Here is a 19,031-nt window from a genome sequence, read left to right as displayed (position 1 = left end):
TGATGGAACAAACTCTGCACATAACACCTTTAAGTGCTGTAACACTCAACACCAAGGTCTGCAGCTTCATTCTTCAAGTGAGCAAGACCATGAACCTGCCCGAAAGAAGAAATTCTGGACACATCTGAAGAACCAAACTCTGGATATAACACCTTTATATGCTGTAACACTCACCGTAAAGGTCTGCAGCTTCATTCTTTCTTGAAGTGAGCAAGACCATGAACATGCCAGAAGGAAGAATATCTGGACACATCTGAAGGAACAAACTCTGGACATAACACCTTTAAGTGCTGCAACACTCACCGTAAAGGACTGGAGGTTCATTCTTGAAGCTAGCAAGACCATGAACCTGCCAGAAGGAAGAAACTCTGGACACATCTGAAGGAACAAACTCTGGACATGACAACATTAAGTGCTGTAACACTCACCGTAAAGGACTGCAGCTTCATTCTTGAAGTGAGCAAGACCATGAAGCTGCCAGAAGGAAGAAACTCTGGACACATCACAAGGAACAAACTCTGGACATAACATCTTTAAGTGCTGTAACACTCACCACTAAGGTCTGCAGCTTCATTCTTGAAGTGAGCAAGACCATGAACCTGCCAGAAGGAAGAAACTCTATACACATCAGATGGAACAAACTCTGGACATAACACATTTAAGTGCTGTAACACTCACCACCAAGGTCTGCAGCTTCATTCTTGAAGTGAGCAAGACCTTGAACCAGCCCGTAGGAAAAAATTCTGGACACATCTGAAGGACCAAACTCTGGACTTAACACCGTTATATGCTGTAACACTCACCGTAAAGGTCTGCAGCTTCATTCTTTCTTGAAGTGAGCAAGACCATGAACCTGCCAGAAGGAAGAATATCTGGACACATCTGAAGTAACAATCTCTAGACATAACACCTTTAAGTGCTGTAACACTCACCACTAAATTCTGCAGCTTCACTCTTGAAGTGAGTAAGACCATGAAACTGAAAGATTGAAGAAACTTTGGACACATCTGTAGGAACAAACTCTTTACATAAAACCTTTAAGTGCTGTAACACTCACCACTAAGGTCTGCAGCTTCATTCTTGAAGAGAACAAGACCATGAACCTGCCAGAATGAAGAAACTCTGGACACATCTGAAGGAACAAACTCTGGACATGACAAAATTAAGTGCTGTAACACTCACCGTAAAGGTCTGCAGCTTAATTCCTGAAGTGAGCAAGACCATGAACCTGCCAGAAGGAAGAAACTCTGGACACATCACAAGGAACAAACACTGGACATAACACCTTTAAGTGCTGTAACACTCACCACTAAGGTCTGCAGCTTCATTCTTGAAGTGAGGAAGACCATGAACCTGCCAGAAGGAAGAAACTCTATACACATTTGATGGAACAAACTCTGGACATAACACATTAAAGTGCTGTAACACTCACCACCAAGGTCTGCAGCTTCATTCTTGAAGTGAGCAAGACCATGAACCGGCCCGAAGGAAGAAATTCTGGACACATCTGAAGGACCAAACTCTGGACTTAACACCTTTATATGCTGTAACACTCACCGTAAAGGTCTGCAGCTTCATTCTTTCTTGAAGTGAGCAAGACCATGAACCTGCCAGAAGGAAGAATATCTGGACATATCTGAAGTAACAAACTCTGGACATAACAACTTTTAGTGCTGTTAACACTCACCACTAAATTCTGCAGCTTCACTCTTGAAGTGAGGAAGACCATGAACCTGCCAGACTGAAGAAACCCTGGACACATCTGAAGGAACAAACTCTTTACATAACACCATTAAGTGCTGTAACACTCACCGGTAAGGTCTGCAGCTTCATTCTTGAAGTGAGCAAGACCATGAACCTGCCAAAAGGAAGAAACTCTGGACACATCTGATGGAACAAACTCGCGACATAACGCCTGTAAGTGCTGCAACACTCATCACCAAGGTCTGCAGCTTCATTCTTGAAGAGAGCAAGACCATGAACCTGCCAGAAGGAAGAAACTGTGGACAAATCTGAAAGAACAAACTCTGGACATAACACCTTTAAATGCTGTAACACTCACCGTAAAGGACTGGAGGTTCATTCTTGAAGCTAGCAATACCATGAACCTGCCAGAAGGAAGAAACTCTGGACACATATGAAGGAACAAACTCTGGACCTGACAACATTAAGTGCTGTAACACTCACCATAAAGGACTGCAGCTTCATTCTTGAAGTGAGCAAAACCATGAACCTGCCAGAAGGAAGAAACTCTGGACACATCTGAAGGAACAAACCCTGGACATAACATCTTTAAGTGCTGTAACACTCACCACTAAGGTCTGCAGCTTCACTCTTGAAGTGAGCAAGACGATGAACCTGCCAAAAGGAAGAAACTCTGGACACATCTGATGGAACAAACTCGGGACATTACACCTGTAAGTGCTGTAACACTCACCACCAAGGCCTGCAGCTTCTTTCTTGAGGTGAGCAAGACCACGAACTTGCCAAAAGGGAGAAACTCTGCGCACATCAGAAGGAACAAACTCTGGACATAACACCTTTAAGTACTGTAACACTCACCACTAAGGTCTGCAGTTTCATTCTTGAAGTGAGCAAGACCGTGAACCTTCCAGAAGGAAGAAACTGGACAAATCTGAAAGAACAAACTCTGGACATAAAACCTTTAAGTACTGAAACGCTCACCATTAAGGTCTGCAGCTTCATTCTTGAAGAGAACAAGACCATGAACCTGACAGAATGAAGAAACTCTGGACACATCTGAAGGAACAAACTCTGGACATGACAACATTAAGTGCTGTAACACTCACCGTAAAGGTTTGCATCTTCATTCTTGAAGTGAGCAAGACCATGAACCTGCCAGAAGACAGAAACCCTGGACACATCTGAAGGAACAAACTCTGGACATAACACCTTTAAGTGCTGTAACACTCACCGGTAAGGTCTGCAGCTTCATTCTTGAAGTGAGCAAGACCATGAACCTGCCAGAAGGAAGAAACACTATACTCATCAGATGGAACAAACTCTGGACATAACACATTTAAGTGGTATAACACTCACCACCAAGGTCTGCAGCTTCATTCTTGAAGTGAGCAAGACCATGAACCAGCCCGAAGGAAGAAATTCTGGACACATCTGAAGGACCAAACTCTGGACATAACACCTTTATATGCTGTAACACTCACCGTAAAGGTCTGCAGCTTCATTCTTTCTTGAAGTGAGCAAGACCATGAACCTGCCAGAAGGAAGAATATCTGGACACATCTGAAGTAAAAAACTCTGGACATAACACCTTTTAGTGCTGTAACACGCACCACTAAATTCTGCAGCTTCACTCTTGAAGTGAGCAAGACCATGAACCTGCCAGAAGGAAGAAACTCTGGACACATCTAAAGGAACAAACTCTGGACATAACAACTTTAAGTGCTGTAACACTCACCGAAAGGGTCCACAGTTTCATTCTTGAAGTGAGCAAGACCATGAACCTGCCAGAAGGAAGAAACTCTGTACACATCTGAAGGAAAAAACTCTGGACAAAATACCTTTAAGTGCTGTAACACTCACAGTAAAGGTCTGCAGTTTCATTCTTGAAGTGAGCAAGACCATGAACCTGCCAGAAGGAAGAAACTCTAGACACATCTGATGGAACAAACTCTGGACATAAAACCTTTAAGTGCTGTAACGCTCACCACTAAGGACTGCAGCTTAATTCTTGAAGAGAACAAGACCATGAACCTGCCAGAATGAAGGAGTTCTAGACACATCTGATGTAAGAAACTCTGGACATAACTACATTAAATGCTGTAACACTCACCGTAAAGGTCTGCAGCTTCATTCTTGAAGTGAGCAAGACCAAGAACCAGCCAGAGGGAAGAAACTCTGTACACATCTGAAGGAACAAACCCTGGACATAACAACTTTAAGTGCTGTAACACTCACCACTAAGGTCTGCAGCTTCATTCTTGAAGTGAGCAATACCATGAACCTGCCAGAAGGAAGAAACTCTGCACACATCTGAAGGAACAAACTCTGTACATAACACCATTAATGCTGTAACACTCACCGTAAAGGTCTGCAGCTTCATTCTTGAAGTGAGCAAGACCATGAACTTGTCAGAAGGAAGAAACTCTGGACACTTCTGAAGGAACAAACTCTGGACATAACACCTTTAAGTGCTATAACACTCACCGTAAAGGTCTGCAGCTTCATTCTTGAAGTGAGCAAGACCATGAACCTGCCAGAAGGAAGAAAGTCTGGACTTATCTGAAGGAAAAAACTCTGGACATAACACCTTTAAGTGCTGTAACTCTCACCACTAAGGTCTGCAGCTTCATTCTTGAAGTGAGCCATAACATGAACCTGCCAGAAGACAGAAACCCTGGACACATCTGAAGGAACAAACTCTGGACATAACATCTTTAAGTGCTGTAACACTCACCAGTAAGGTCTGCAGCTTCATTAGTGAAGTGAGCAGACCATGAAGCTGCCAGAAGGAAGACACTCTGGACACATCTGAAGGAACAAACTCTGGACATAACAACTTTAAGTGCTGTAACACTCACCAGTAAAGTCTGCAGCTTCATTCTTGAAGTGAGGAAGACCAGGAAACTGCCAGAAGGAAGAATCTCTGGACACATCTGAAGAAACAAACTCTGGACATAACAACTTTAAGTGCTGTAACACTCACCAGTAAGGTCTGCAGCTTCATTAAAGAAGTGAGCAAGACCACGAACCTGCCAGAAGGAAGAAACTCTGGAAACATATGAAGGAACAAACTCTGGACATAACAGCTTTAAGTGCTGTAACACTCACCAGTAAGGTCTGCAGCTTCATTCTTGAAGTGAGCAACACCATGAACCTGCCAGAAGAAAGAAACTCTGGACACATCTGAAGCAACAAACTCTGGACAAAACACCTTTAAGTGCTGTAACACTCACCGTAAAAGTCTGCAGCTTCATTCTTGAAATGAGCAAGACCATGAACCTGCCAGAAGGAAGAAACGCTGGACATATCTGAAGGAAAAAACTCTGGACATAAAAACTTAAGTGCTGTAACGCTCACCACTAAGGTCCGCAGCTTCATTCTTGAAGTGAGCAAGACCATGAACCCGCCAGAAGGAAGAAACTCTGGACTTATCTGAAGGAACAAACTCTGGACATAAAAACTTAACTGCTGTAACGCTCACCACTAAGGTCTGCAGCTTCATTCGTGAAGTGAGCAAGACCATGAACCTGGAGAAGGAAGAAACTCTGGACACATCTGAAGGAACAAACTCTGGACATAACAGCTTTAAGTGCTGTAAATCTCACCACTAAGGTCTGCAGCTTCATTCTTGAAATGAGCAAGTCCATGAACCTCCCAGAAGGAAGGAAATCTAGACACATCTGATGTAAAAAACTCTGGACATAACACCTTTAAATGATGTAACACTCACCGTAAAGGACTGCAGCTTCATTCTTGAAGTGAGCAAGACCATGAACCTGCCAGAAGACAGAAACCCTGGACACATCTGAAGGAACAAACTCTGGACATAACACCTTTATGTGCTGTAACACTCACCGTAAAGGTCTGCATCTTCATTCTTGAAGTGAGCAAGACCATGAACCTGCCAGAAGGAAGAAACTCTGGACACATCTGAAGGAACAAACTCTGTAAATAACATCTTTAAGTGTTGTAACACTCACCACTAAGGTCTGCAGCTTCATTCTTGAAGTGAGCAAGACCATGAACCTGCCAGAAGGAAGAAACTCTGGACACATCTGAAGGAACAAACTCTGGATATAACACCTTTAAGTGCTGTAAAACTCACCACTAAGTTCTGCAGCTTCTTTCTTGAAGTGATCAAGACCACGAACCTGCAAGAAGGAAGAAACTCTTGACACATCTGAAGGAACAAACTCAGGACATAACACCTTTAAGTGCTGTAACACTCACCACTAAGGTCTGCAGCCTCATCCTTGAAGTGAGCAAGACAATGAACCTGCCAGAAGGAAGAAACTCTGGACACATCTGAAGGAACAAACTCTGGACATAACAACTTTTAGTGCTGTTAACACTCACCACTAAATTCTGCAGCTTCATTCTTTCTTGAAGTGAGGAAGACCATGAACCTGCCAGACTGAAGAAACTTTGGACACACCTGAAGGAACAAACTCTTTACATAACACCATTAAGTGCTGTAACACTCACCACTGAGGTCTGCAGCTTCATTCTTGAAGTGAGCAAGACCATGAACCTGCCAAAAGGAAGAAACTCTGGACACATCTGATGGAACAAACTCGCGACATAACGCCTGTAAGTGCTGCAACACTCATCACCAAGGTCTGCAGCTTCATTCTTGAAGAGAGCAAGACCATGAACCTGCCAGAAGGAAGAAACTGTGGACAAATCTGAAAGAACAAACTCTGGACATAACACCTTTAAATGCTGTAACACTCACCGTAAAGGACTGGAGGTTCATTCTTGAAGCTAGCAATACCATGAACCTGCCAGAAGGAAGAAACTCTGGACACATATGAAGGAACAAACTCTTTACCTAACACCTTTAAGTGCTGCAATACTCACCGTAAAGGTCTGCAGCTTCATTCTTTCTTGAAGTGAGAAAGACCATGAACCTGCCAAAAGGAAGAATATCTGGACACATCTGAAGGATCTAACTCTGGACATAACACCTTTAAGTGATGTAACACTCACCATAAAGGACTGGAGGTTCATTCTTGAAGCTAGCAAGACCATGAACCTGCCAGAAGGAAGAAACTCTGTACACATCTGAAGGAAAAATCTCTGGACATAATACCTTTTAGTGCTGTAACACTCACCGTAAAGGTCTGCAGTTTCATTCTTGAAGTGAGCAAGACCATGAACCTGCCAGAAGGAATAAACTGTGGACACATCTGAAAGAACAAACTCTGGACATAACACCTTTAAGTGATGTAACACTCACCGTAAGGGTCTGCAGTTTCATTCTTCAAGTGAGCAAGACCATGAACCTGCCAGAAGGAAGAAACTCTGTACACATCTGAAGGAAAAAACTCTGGACATAATGCCTTTAAGTGCTGTAACACTCACCAGTAAGGTCTGCAGCTTCATTCTTGAAGTGAGGAAGACCACGAAACTGCCAGAAGGAAGAAACTCTGGACACATCTGAAGAAACAAACTCTGGACATAACACCTTTAAGTGCTGTAACACTCACCAGTAAGGTCTGCAGCTTCATTCTTGAAGTGAGGAAGTCATGAACCTGCCAGAAGACAGAAACCCTGGACACATCTGAAGGAACAAACTCTGGACATAACACCTTTAAGTGCTGTAACACTCACCGGTAAGGTCTGCAGCTTCATCCTTGAAGTGAGCAAGACCATGAACCTGCCAGAAGGAACAAACTCTAGACACATCTGATGGAACAAACTCTGGACATAAAACCTTTAAGTGCTGTAACACTCACCGCTAAGGTCTGCAGCTTCATTCCTGAAGAGAAGAAGACCACGAACCTGCCAGAAGGAAGAAACTCTGGACACATCTGAAGGAAAAAACTCTGGACAAAATACCTTTAAGTGCTGTAACACTCACAGTAAAGGTCTGCAGTTTCATTCTTGAAGTGAGCAAGACCATGAACCTGCCAGAAGGAAGAAACTCTAGACACATCTGATGGAACAAACTCTGGACATAAAACCTTTAAGTGCTGTAACGCTCACCACTAAGGACTGCAGCTAAATTCTTGAAGAGAACAAGACCATGAACCTGCCAGAATGAAGAAACTCTGGACACATCTGAAGGAACAAACTCTGGACATGACAACATTAAGTGCTGTAACACTCACTGTAAAGGTCTGCAGCTTCATTCTTGAAGTGAGCAAGACCATGAAACTGCCAGATTGAAGAAACTTTGGACACATCGGAAGGAACAAACTCTTTACCTAACACCTTTAAGTGCTGCAATACTCACCGTAAAGGTCTGCAGCTTCATTCTTTCTTGAAGTGAGCAAGACCATGAACCTGCCAAAAGGAAGAATATCTGGACACATCTGAAGAAACAATCTCCGGACATAACACCTTTTAGTGCTGTAACACTCACCACTAAATTCTGCACCTTCACTCTTGAAGTGAGCAAGACCTTGAACCTGCCAGATTGAAGAAACTTTGGACACATCCGAAGGAAAAAACTCATTACATAACACCATTAAGTGCTGTAAAACTCATCACCAAGGTCTGCAGCTTCATTCTTGAAGTGAGCAAGACCATGAACCTGCCAGAAGGAAGAAACTGTGGACACATCTGAAACATCAAACTCTGGACATAACACCTTTAAGTGCTGTAACACTCACCGTAAGGGTCTGCAGTTTCATTCTTGAAGTGAGCAAGACCATGAAACTGCCAGAAGGAAGAAACACTGGACACATCTGAAGGAAAAAACTCTGGACATAACACCTTTAAGTGCTGTAACACTGACCGTAAAGGACTGGAGGTTCATTCCTGAAGCTAGCAAGACCATGAACCTGCCAGAAGGAAGAAACTCTGTACACATCTGAAGGAAAAAACTCTGGACATAATACCTTTAAGTGCTGTAACACTCACCGTAAAGGTCTGCAGTTTCATTCTTGAAGTGAGCAAGACCATGAACCTGCCAGAAGGAAGAAACTCTGGACACAACTGAAGGAACAAACTCTGGATATAACACATTTAAGTGCTGTAAAACTCACCGTAAAGGTCTGGAGCTTCATTCTTGAAGTGAGCAAGACCATGAAACTGCAAGAAGAAAGAAAATCTGGACACATCTGAAGGAACAAATTCTGGATATAACACCTTTAAGTACTGTAACATTCACCGTAAAGGTCTGCAGCATCATTCTTGAAGTGAGCAAGACCATGAACCTGCCAGATGGAAGAAACTCTGCACACATCACAAGGAACAAACTCTGGACATAACACCTTTAAGTGCTGTAACACTCACCACTAAGGTCTGCAGCTTCATTCTTGAAGTGAGCAAGACAATGAACCTGCCAGAAGGAGGAAACACTATACACATCAGATGGAACAAACTCTGGACATAACACATTTAAGTGCTGTAACACTCACCACCAAAGTCTGCAGCTTCATTCTTGAAGTGAGCAAGACCATGAACCAGCCCGAAGGAAAAAATTCTGGACACATCTGAAGGACCAAACTCTGGACATAACACCTTTATATGCTGTAACACTCACCGTAAAGGTCTGCAGCTTCATTCTTTCTTGAAGTGAGCAAGACCATGAACATGACAGAAGGAAGAATATCTGGACACATCTGAAGTAAGAAACTCTGGACATAACACCTTTTAGTGCTGTAACACTCACCACTAAATTCTGCAGCTTCACTCTTGAAGTGAGCAAGACCATGAACCTGCCAGATTGAAGAAACTTTGGACACATCTGAAGGAACATACTCTGGACATAACACCTTTAAGTGCTGTAACTCTCACCACTAAGGTCTGCAGATTCATCCTTGAAGTGAGCAAGACCATGAACCTGCCAAAAGGAATAAACTCTGGACACATCTGATGGAACAAACTCGGGACATAACACCTGTAAGTGCTGTAACACTCACCACCAAGGTCTGCAGCTTCATACTTGAAGTGAGAAATACCATGAACCTGCCAGAAGGAAGAAACTCTGGACACGTCTGAAAGAACAAACTCTGGACATAACACCTTTAAGTGCTGTAACACTCACCATAAAGGACTGGAGGTTCATTCTTGAAGCTAGCAAGACCATGAACCTGCCAGAAGGAAGAAACTCTGTACACATCTGAAGGAAAAAACTCTGGACATAATACCTTTAAGTGCTGTAACACTCACCGTAAAGGTCTGCAATTTCATTCTTGAAGTGAGCAAGTCAATGAACCTGCCAGAAGGAAGAAACTCTGGACACATGTGAAGGAACAAACACTGGATATAACAACTTTAAGTACTGTAACTTTCACCGTAAATGTCTGCAGCATCATTCTTGAAGTGAGCAAGACCATGAAACTTCCAGAAGGAAGAAATTCTAGACACATCTGAAGGAACAAACTCTGGACATAACAGCTTTAAGTGCTGTAAAACTCACCGTAAAGGTCTGGAGCTTCATTCTTGAAGTGAGCAAGACCATGAAACTGCAAGAAGAAAGAAAACCTGGACACATCAGAAGGAACAAACTCTGTATATAAGACCTTTAAGTACTGTAACATTCACCGTAAAGGTCTGCAGCATCATTTTTGAAGTGAGCAAGAAATGAACCTGCCAGAAGGAAGAAACTCTGCACACATCAAAAGGAAGAAACTCTGGACATAACACCTTTAAGTGCTGTAACACACACCACTAAGGTCTGCAGCTTCATCCTTGAAGTGAGCAAGACCATGAACCTGCCAGAAGGAAGAAACTCTAGACACATCTGATGGAACAAACTCTGGACATAACATATTTAAGTGCTATAACACTCACCACCAAGGTCTGCAGCTTCATTCTTGAAGTGAGGAAGACCATGAACCAGCCCGAAGGAAGAAATTCTGGACATATCTGAAGGACCAAACTCTGGACATAACACCTTTATATGCTGTAACACTCACCGTAAAGGTCTGCAGCTTCATTCTTTCTTGAAGTGAGCAAGACCATGAACCTGACAGAAGGAAGAATATCTGGACACATCTAAAGTAACAAACTCTAGACATAACACTTTTAAGTGCTGTAACACTCACCACTAAATTCTGCAGCTTCACTCTTGAAGTGAGCAAGACCATGAACCTGCCAGATTGAAGAAACTTTGGACACATCTGAAGGAACAAACTCTTTACATAACACCTTTAAGTGCTGTAACACTCACCACTGAGGTCTGCAGCTTCATTCTTGAAGTGAGCAAGACCATGAACCTGTCAAAAGGAAGAAACTCTGGACATATCTGATGGAACAAACTCTGGACATAACACCTGTAAGTGCTGTAACACTCACCAGTAAGTTCTGCAGCTTCATGCTTGAATTGAGCAAGACCATGAACCTGCCAGAAGGAAGAAACTGTGGACACATCTGAAAGAACAAACTCTGGACATAACACCTTTAATGCTGTAACTCTCACCGTAAAGGTCTGCAGTTTCATTCTTGAAGTGAGCAAGACCATGAACCTGCCAGAAGGAAGAAACTCTGGACACATCTAAAGGAACAAACTCTGGACATAACACTTTTAAGTGCTGTAACGCTCACCGTAAAGGTCTGCAGCTTCATTCCTGAAGAGAAGAAGACCACGAACCTCCCAGAAGGAAGAAACTCTGGACACATCACAAGGAACAAACTCTGGACATAAAAACTTAACTGCTGTAACACTCACCACTAAGGTCTGCAGCTTCATTCTTGAAGTGAGCAAGACCATGAACCTGCCAGAAGACAGAAACCCTGGACACATCTGAAGGAACAAACTCTGGACATGACAACATTAAGTGCTGTAACACTCACCGTAAAGGTTTGCATCTTAATTCTTGAAGTGAACAAGACCACGAACCTGCCAGAAGGAAGAAACTCTGGACACATCACAAGGAACAAACTCTGGACATAACACCTTTTAGTGCTGTAACACTCACCACTAAATTCTGCAGCTTCACTCTTGAAGTGAGCAAGACCATGAACCTGTCAGATTGAAGAAACTTTGGACACATCTGAAGGAACATACTCTGGACATAACACCTTTAAGTGCTGTAACTCTCACCACTAAGGTCTGCAATTTCATTCTTGAAGTGAGCAAGACAATGAACCTGCCAGAAGGAAGAAACTCTGGACACATCTGAAGGAACAAACACTGGATATAACAACTTTAAGTACTGTAACTTTCACCGTAAATGTCTGCAGCATCATTCTTGAAGTGAGCAAGACCATGAACCTGCCAGAAGGAAGAAACTCTAGACACATCTGAAGGAACAAACTCTGGACATAACACCTTTAAGTGCTGTAAAACTCACCGTAAAGGTCTGGAGCTTCATTCTTGAAGTGAGCAAGACCATGAAACTGCAAGAAGACGGAAAATCTGGACACATCAGAAGGAACAAACTCTGGATATAACACCTTTAAGTACTGTAACATTCACCGTAAAGGTCTGCAGCATCATTTTTGAAGTGAGCAAGAAATGAACCTGCCAGAAGGAAGAAACTCTGCACACATCAAAAGGAAGAAACTCTGGACATAACACCTTTAAGTGCTGTAACACTCACCACTAAGGTCTGCAGCTTCATCCTTGAAGTGAGCAAGACCATGAACCTGCCAGAAGGAAGAAACTCTAGACACATCTGATGGAACAAACTCTGGACATAAAACCTTTAAGTGTTGTAACGCTCACCGCTAAGGTCTGCAGCTTCATTCTTGAAGAGAACAAGACCATGAACCTGCCAGAATGAAGAAACTCTGGACATATCTGAAGGAACAAACTCTGGACATGACAACGTTAAGTGCTGTAACACTCACCGTAAAGGTCTGCAGCTTCATTCTTGAAGTGAGCAAGACCATGAACCTGCCAGAAGGAAGAAACTCTGGACACATAACAAGGAACAAACTCTGGACATAACACCTTTAAGTGCTGTAACACTCACCACTAAGGTCTGCAGCTTCATTCTTGAAGTGAGCAAGACCATGAACCTGAAAGAAGGAAGAAACACTATACACATCAGATGGAACAAACTCTCGACATTACACATTTAAGGGCTCTAATACTCACCACCAAGGACTGCAGCTTCATTCTTGAAGTGAGCAAGACCATGAACCAGTACGAAGGAAAAAATTCTGGACACATCTGAAGGACCAAACTCTGGACATAACACCTTTATATGCTGTGACACTCACCGGTAAGGTCTGCAGCTTCATTCTTTCTTGAAGTGAGCAAGACCATGAACCTGCCAGAAGGAAGACTATCTGGACACATCTGAAGTAACAAACTCTAGACATAACAACTTTAAGTGCTGTAACACTCACCACTAAATTCTGCAGCTTCACTCTTGAAGTGAGCAAGACCATGAACCTGCCAGATTGAAGAAAATTTGGACACATCTGAAGGAACAAACTCTTTACATAACACCTTTAAGTGCTGTAACTCTCACCACTGAGGTCTGCAGCTTCATTCTTGAAGTGAGCAAGACCATGAACCTGCCAGATTGAAGAAACTTTGGACACATCTGAAGGAACAAACTCTTTACATAACACCTTTAAGTGCTGTAACACTCACCGTAAAGGTCTGCAGCTTCATTCTTTCTTGAAGTGAGCAAGACCATGAACCTGCCAGAAGGAAGAATATCTGGACACAACTGAAGTAAAAAACTCTGGACATGACACCTTTTAGTGCTGTAACACTCACCAGTAAATTCTGCAGCTTCACTCTTGAAGTGAGCAAGACCATGAACCCGCCAGATTGAAGAAATTTTGGACACATCTGAAGGAACAAACTCTTTACATAACACCTTTAAGTGCTGTAACACTCACCACTGAGGTCTGCAGCTTCATTCTTGAAGTGAGCAAGACCATGAACCTGCCAAAAGGAAGAAACTCTGGACACATCTGATGGAACAAACTCGGGACATAACACTTGAAAGTGCTGTAACACTCATCACCAAGGTCTGCAGCTTCATTCTTGAAGTGAGCAAGACCATGAACCTGCCAGAAGGAAGAAACTGTGGACACATCTGAAAGAACAAACTATGGACATAACACCTTTAGGTCCTGTAACACTCACCGTAAGGGTCTGCAGTTTCATTCTGGAAGTGAGCAAGACCATGAACCGGCCAGAAGGAAGAAACTCTGGACACATCTGAAGGAAAAAACTCTGGACATAACACCTTTAAGTGCTGTAACACTCACCGTAAAGGACTGGAGGTTCATTCTTGAAGCTAGCAAGACCATGAACCTGCCAGAAGGAAGAAACTCTGTACACATCTGAAGGAAAAAACTCTGGACATAATACCTTTAAGTGCTGTAACCCTCACCGTAAAGGTCTGCAGTTTCATTCTTGAAGTGAGCAAGACCATGAACCTGCCAGAAGGAAGAAACTCTGGACACAACTGAAGGAACAAACTCTGGACATAACACCTTTAAGTGCTGTAAAACTCACCGTAAAGGTCTGGAGCTTCATTCTTGAAGTGAGCAAGACCATGAACCTGCAAGAAGAAAGAAAATCTGGACACATCTGAAGGAACAAACTCTGGATATAACACCTTTAAGTACTGTAACATTCACCGTAAATTTCTGCAGCATCATTCTTGAAGTGAGCAAGACCATGAACCTGCCAGATGGAAGAAACTCTGCACACTTCACAAGGAACAAACTCTGGACATAACACCTTTAAGTGCTGTAACACTCACCACTAAGGTCTGCAGCAGCATCCTTGAAGTGAGCAAGACCATGAACCTGCCAGAAGGAAGAAACTCTAGACACATCTGATGGAACAAACTCTGGATATAAAACCTTTAAGTGCTGTAACGCTCACCGCTAAGGTCTGCAGCTTCATTCTTAAAGAGAACAAGACAATGAACGTGCTAGAATGAAGAAACTCTGGACACATCTGAAGGAACAAACTCTGGACATGACAACATTAAGTGCTGTAACACTCACCGTAAAGGTCTGCAGCTTCATTCTTGAAGTGAGCAAGACCATGAACCTGCCAGAAGGAAGAAACTCTGGACACATCACAAGGAACAAACTCTGGATATAAGACCTTTAAGTGCTGTAACACTCACCACTAAGGTCTGCAGCTTCATTCTTTCTTGAACTGAGCAAGACCATGAACTTGCTAGAAGGAAGAATATCTGGACACATCTGAAGTAACAAACTCTAGACATAACAACTTTAAGTGCTGTAACACTCACCACTAAATTCTGCAGCTTCACTCTTGAAGTGAGCATGACGATGAACCTGCCAGATTGAAGAAACTTTGGACACATCTGAAGTAACAAACTCTTTACATAACACCTTTAAGAGCTGTAACACTCACTACTGAAGTCTGCAGCTTCATCCTTGAAGAGAGCAAGACCATGAACCTGCCAGAAGGAAGAAACTCTAGACACATCTGATGGAACAACTCTGGACATAAAACCTTTAAGTGCTGTAACGCTCACCGCTAAGGTCTGCAGCTTCATTCCTGAAGAGAACAAGACCATGAACCTGCCAGAAGGAAGAAACTCTGGACACATCACAAGGAACAAACTCTGGACATGACACCTTTAAGTGCTGTAACACTCACCACTAAGGCCGGCAGCTTCATTCTTGAAGTGAGGAAGACCATGAACCTGCCAGAAGGAAGTAACACTATACACATCAGATGGAACAAACTCTGGACATAACAAATTTAAGTGCTGTAACACTCACCACCAAGGTCTGCAGCTTCATTCTTGAAGTGAGCAAGACCATGAACCAGCCCGAAGGAAAAAATTCTGGACACATCTGAGTGACCAAACTCTGGACATAACACCTTTATATGCTGTAACACTCACTGTAAATGTCTGCAGCTTCATTCTTTCTTGAAGTGAGCAAGACCATGAACATGACAGAAGGAAGAATATCTGGACACATCTGATGTAACAAACTCTGGACATAACACCTTTTAGTGCTGTAACACTCACCACTAAATTCTGCAGCTTCACTCTTGAAGTGAGCAAGACCATGAACCTGCCAGATTGAAGAAACTTTGGACACATCTGAAGGAACATACTCTGGACATAACACCTTTAATTGCTGTAACTCTCACCACTAAGGTCTGCAGCTTCATCCTTGAAGTGAGCAAGACCATGAACCTGCCAGAAGTAAGAAACTCTGGACACATCTAAAGGAACAAACTCTGGACGTAACACCTGTAAATGCTGTAACACTCACCACCAAGGTCTGCAGCTTCATTCTTGAAGTGAGCAAGACCATGAACCAGCCCGAAGGAAAAAATTCTGGACTTATCTGAGTGACCAAACTCTGGACATAACACCTTTAAGTGCTGTAACACTCACTGTAAATGTCTGCAGCTTCATTCTTTCTTGAAGTGAGCAAGACCATGAACATGACAGAAGGAAGAATATCTGGACACATCTGATGTAACAAACTCTGGACATAACACCTTTTAGTGCTGTAACACTCACCACTAAATTCTGCAGCTTCACTCTTGAAGTGAGCAAGACCATGAACCTGCCAGATTGAAGAAACTTTGGACACATCTGAAGGAACATACTCTGGACATAACACCTTTAATTGCTGTAACTCTCACCACTAAGGTCTGCAGATTCATCCTTGAAGAGAGCAAGACCATGAACCTGCCAAAAGGAATAAACTCTGGACACATCTGATGGAACAACCTCGGGACATAACACCTGTAAGTGCTGTAACACTCACCACAAAGGTCTGCAGCTTCATACTTGAAGTGAGAAAGACCATGAATCTGCCAGAAGGAAGAAACTGTGGACACTTCTGAAAGAACAAACTCTGGACATAACACCTTTAAGTGATGTAACACTCACCATAAAGGACTGGAGGTTCATTCTTGAAGCTAGCAAGACCATGAACCTGCCAGAAGGAAGAAACTCTGTACACATCTGAAGGAAAAATCTCTGGACATAATACCTTTTAGTGCTGTAACACTCACCGTAAAGGTCTGCAGTTTCATTCTTGAAGTGAGCAAGACCATGAACCTGCCAGAAGGAATAAACTGTGGACACATCTGAAAGAACAAACTCTGGACATAACAACTTTAAGTGATGTAACACTCACCGTAAGGGTCTGCAGTTTCATTCTTCAAGTGAGCAAGACCATGAACCTGCCAGAAGGAAGAAACTCTGTACACATCTGAAGGAAAAAACTCTGGACATAATGCCTTTAAGTGCTGTAACACTCACCGTAAAGGTCTGCAGTTTCATTCTTGAACTGAGCAAGACAATGAACCTGCCAGAAGGAAGAAACTCTGGACACAACTGAAGGAACAAACTCTGGACATAACACCTTTAAGTGCTGTAAAACTCACCGTAAAGGTCTGGAGCTTCATTCTTGAAGTGAGCAAGACCATGAAACTGCCAGAAGAAAGAAACTCTGGACACATCTGAAGGAACAAACTGTGGATATAACACCTTTAAGTACTGTAACTTTCACCGTAAAGGTCTGCAGCATCATTCTTGATGTGAGCAAGACCATGAACCTGCCAGAAGGAAGAAACTCTCCACACATCACGAGGAACAAACTCTCTACATAACACCTTTAAGTGCTGTAACACTCACCACTAAGGTCTGCAGCTTCATTCTTGAAGTGAGCAAGACCATGAACCTGCCAAAAGGAAGAAACTCTGGACACATCTGATGGAACAAACTCGGGACATAACACCTGTAAGTGCTGTAACACTCACCACCAAGGTCTACAGCTTCATTCTTGAAGTGAGCAAGACAATGAACTTGCCAGAAGGAAGAAACTCTGCACACATCACAAGGAACAAACTCTGGACATAACACCTTTAAGTGTTGTAACACTCACCACTAAGGTCTGCAGCTTCTTACTTGAAGTGAGCAAGACCATGAACCTGCCAGAAGGAAGAAACTGTGGATACATCTGTAAGAACAAACTCTGGACATAACACCTTTAAGTGGTGTAACACTCACCGTAAGGGTCTGCAGTTTCATTCTTGAATTGAGCAAATCATGAACCTGCCAGAAGGAAGAAACTCTGGACACATCTGAAGGAACAAACTCTGGACATAACACCTTTAAGTGCTGTAACACTCACCGTAAAGACTGGAGGTTCATTCTTGAAGCTAGCAAGACCATGAACGTGCCAGAAGGAAGTAACTCTGTACACATCTGACGGAAAAAACTCTGGACATAATTCCTTTAAGTGTTGTAACACTCACCGTAAAGGTCTGCAGTTTCATTCTTGAAGTGAGCAAGACCATGATACTGCCAGAAGAAAGAAACTCTGGACACAACTGAAGGAACAATCTCTGGACATAACACCTTTAAGTGCTGTAAAACTCACCGTAAAGGTCTGGAGCTTCATTCTTGAAGTGAGCAAGACCATGAAACTGCCAAAAGAAGGAAACTCTGGACACATATCAAGGAACAAACTCTGGATATAACACCTTTAAGTGCTGTAACACTCACCGTAAAGGTCTGCAGCATCATTCTTGAAGTGAGCAAGACCATGAACCTGCCAGAAGGAAGAAACTCTGCACACATCACACGGAACAAACTCTGGACATAACACCTTTAAGTGCTGTAACACTCACCACTAAGGTCTGCAGCTTCATTCTTCAAGTGAGCAAGACCATGAACCTGCCAGAAGGAAGAAACTCTATGCACATCACATGGATCAAAATCTGGACATAACATATTTAAGTGCTGTAACACTCACCACCAAGGTCTGCAGTTTCATTCTTGAAGTGAGCAAGACCATGAACCTTCCAGAAGGAAGAAATTCTGGACAAATCTGAAAGAACAAACTCTGGACATAACGCCTTTATATGCTGTAACACTCACCGTAAAGGTCTGCAGCTTCATTCTTTCTTGAAGTGAGCAAGACCATGAACCTGCCAGAAGGAAGAATATCTGGACAAATCTGAAGGACAAAACTCTGCAAATAACACCTTTAAGTGCTGTAACACTCACCACTAAATTCTGCAGCTTCATTCTTTCTTGAAGTGAGAAAGACCATGAACCTGCCAGATTGAAGAAACTTTGGACACATCTGAAGGAACAAACTCTTTACATAACACCTTTAAGTGCTGTAACACTCTCCACTAAGGTCTGCAGCTTCATTCTTGAAGTGAGCAAGACCATGAACCTGCCAGAAGGAAGAAACTCTGGACACATCTGAAGGAATAAACTCTGGACATAACACCATTAAGTGCTGTAACACTCACCGTAAAGGACTGGAGATTCATTATTGAAGTGAGCAAAACCATGAACCTGCCAGAAGAAAGAAACTCTGGACACATCTGAAGGAACAAACTCTGGACATAATACCTTTAAGTGCTGTAACACTCACCGTAAGGGTCTGCAGTTTCATTCTTGAAGTGAGCAAGACCATGGACCTGCCGGAAG

At 42.8% G+C, this 19,031-nt stretch overlaps 1 annotated feature.

Moving 5' to 3' along the window:
- Positions 7,576–8,775: an enhancer, noted in NCBI's record as "MED14-independent group 3 enhancer chrY:22339850-22341049 (GRCh37/hg19 assembly coordinates)". NCBI's record gives its function as "activates an origin of replication core promoter dependent on BRD2, BRD4, P300/CBP and CDK7 cofactors, and independent of MED14, by STARR-seq in HCT116 cells {active_cell/tissue: HCT116}" and the evidence as "EXISTENCE:reporter gene assay evidence [ECO:0000049][PMID:35650434]".

Source organism: Homo sapiens, chromosome Y, assembly GCF_000001405.40.
Source record: "Homo sapiens chromosome Y, GRCh38.p14 Primary Assembly".
Classification (NCBI taxonomy): domain Eukaryota; kingdom Metazoa; phylum Chordata; class Mammalia; order Primates; family Hominidae; genus Homo; species Homo sapiens.
The sequence above is the reverse complement of the archived record's forward strand: the minus strand, read 5'-3'. Positions and strand labels throughout refer to the sequence as shown.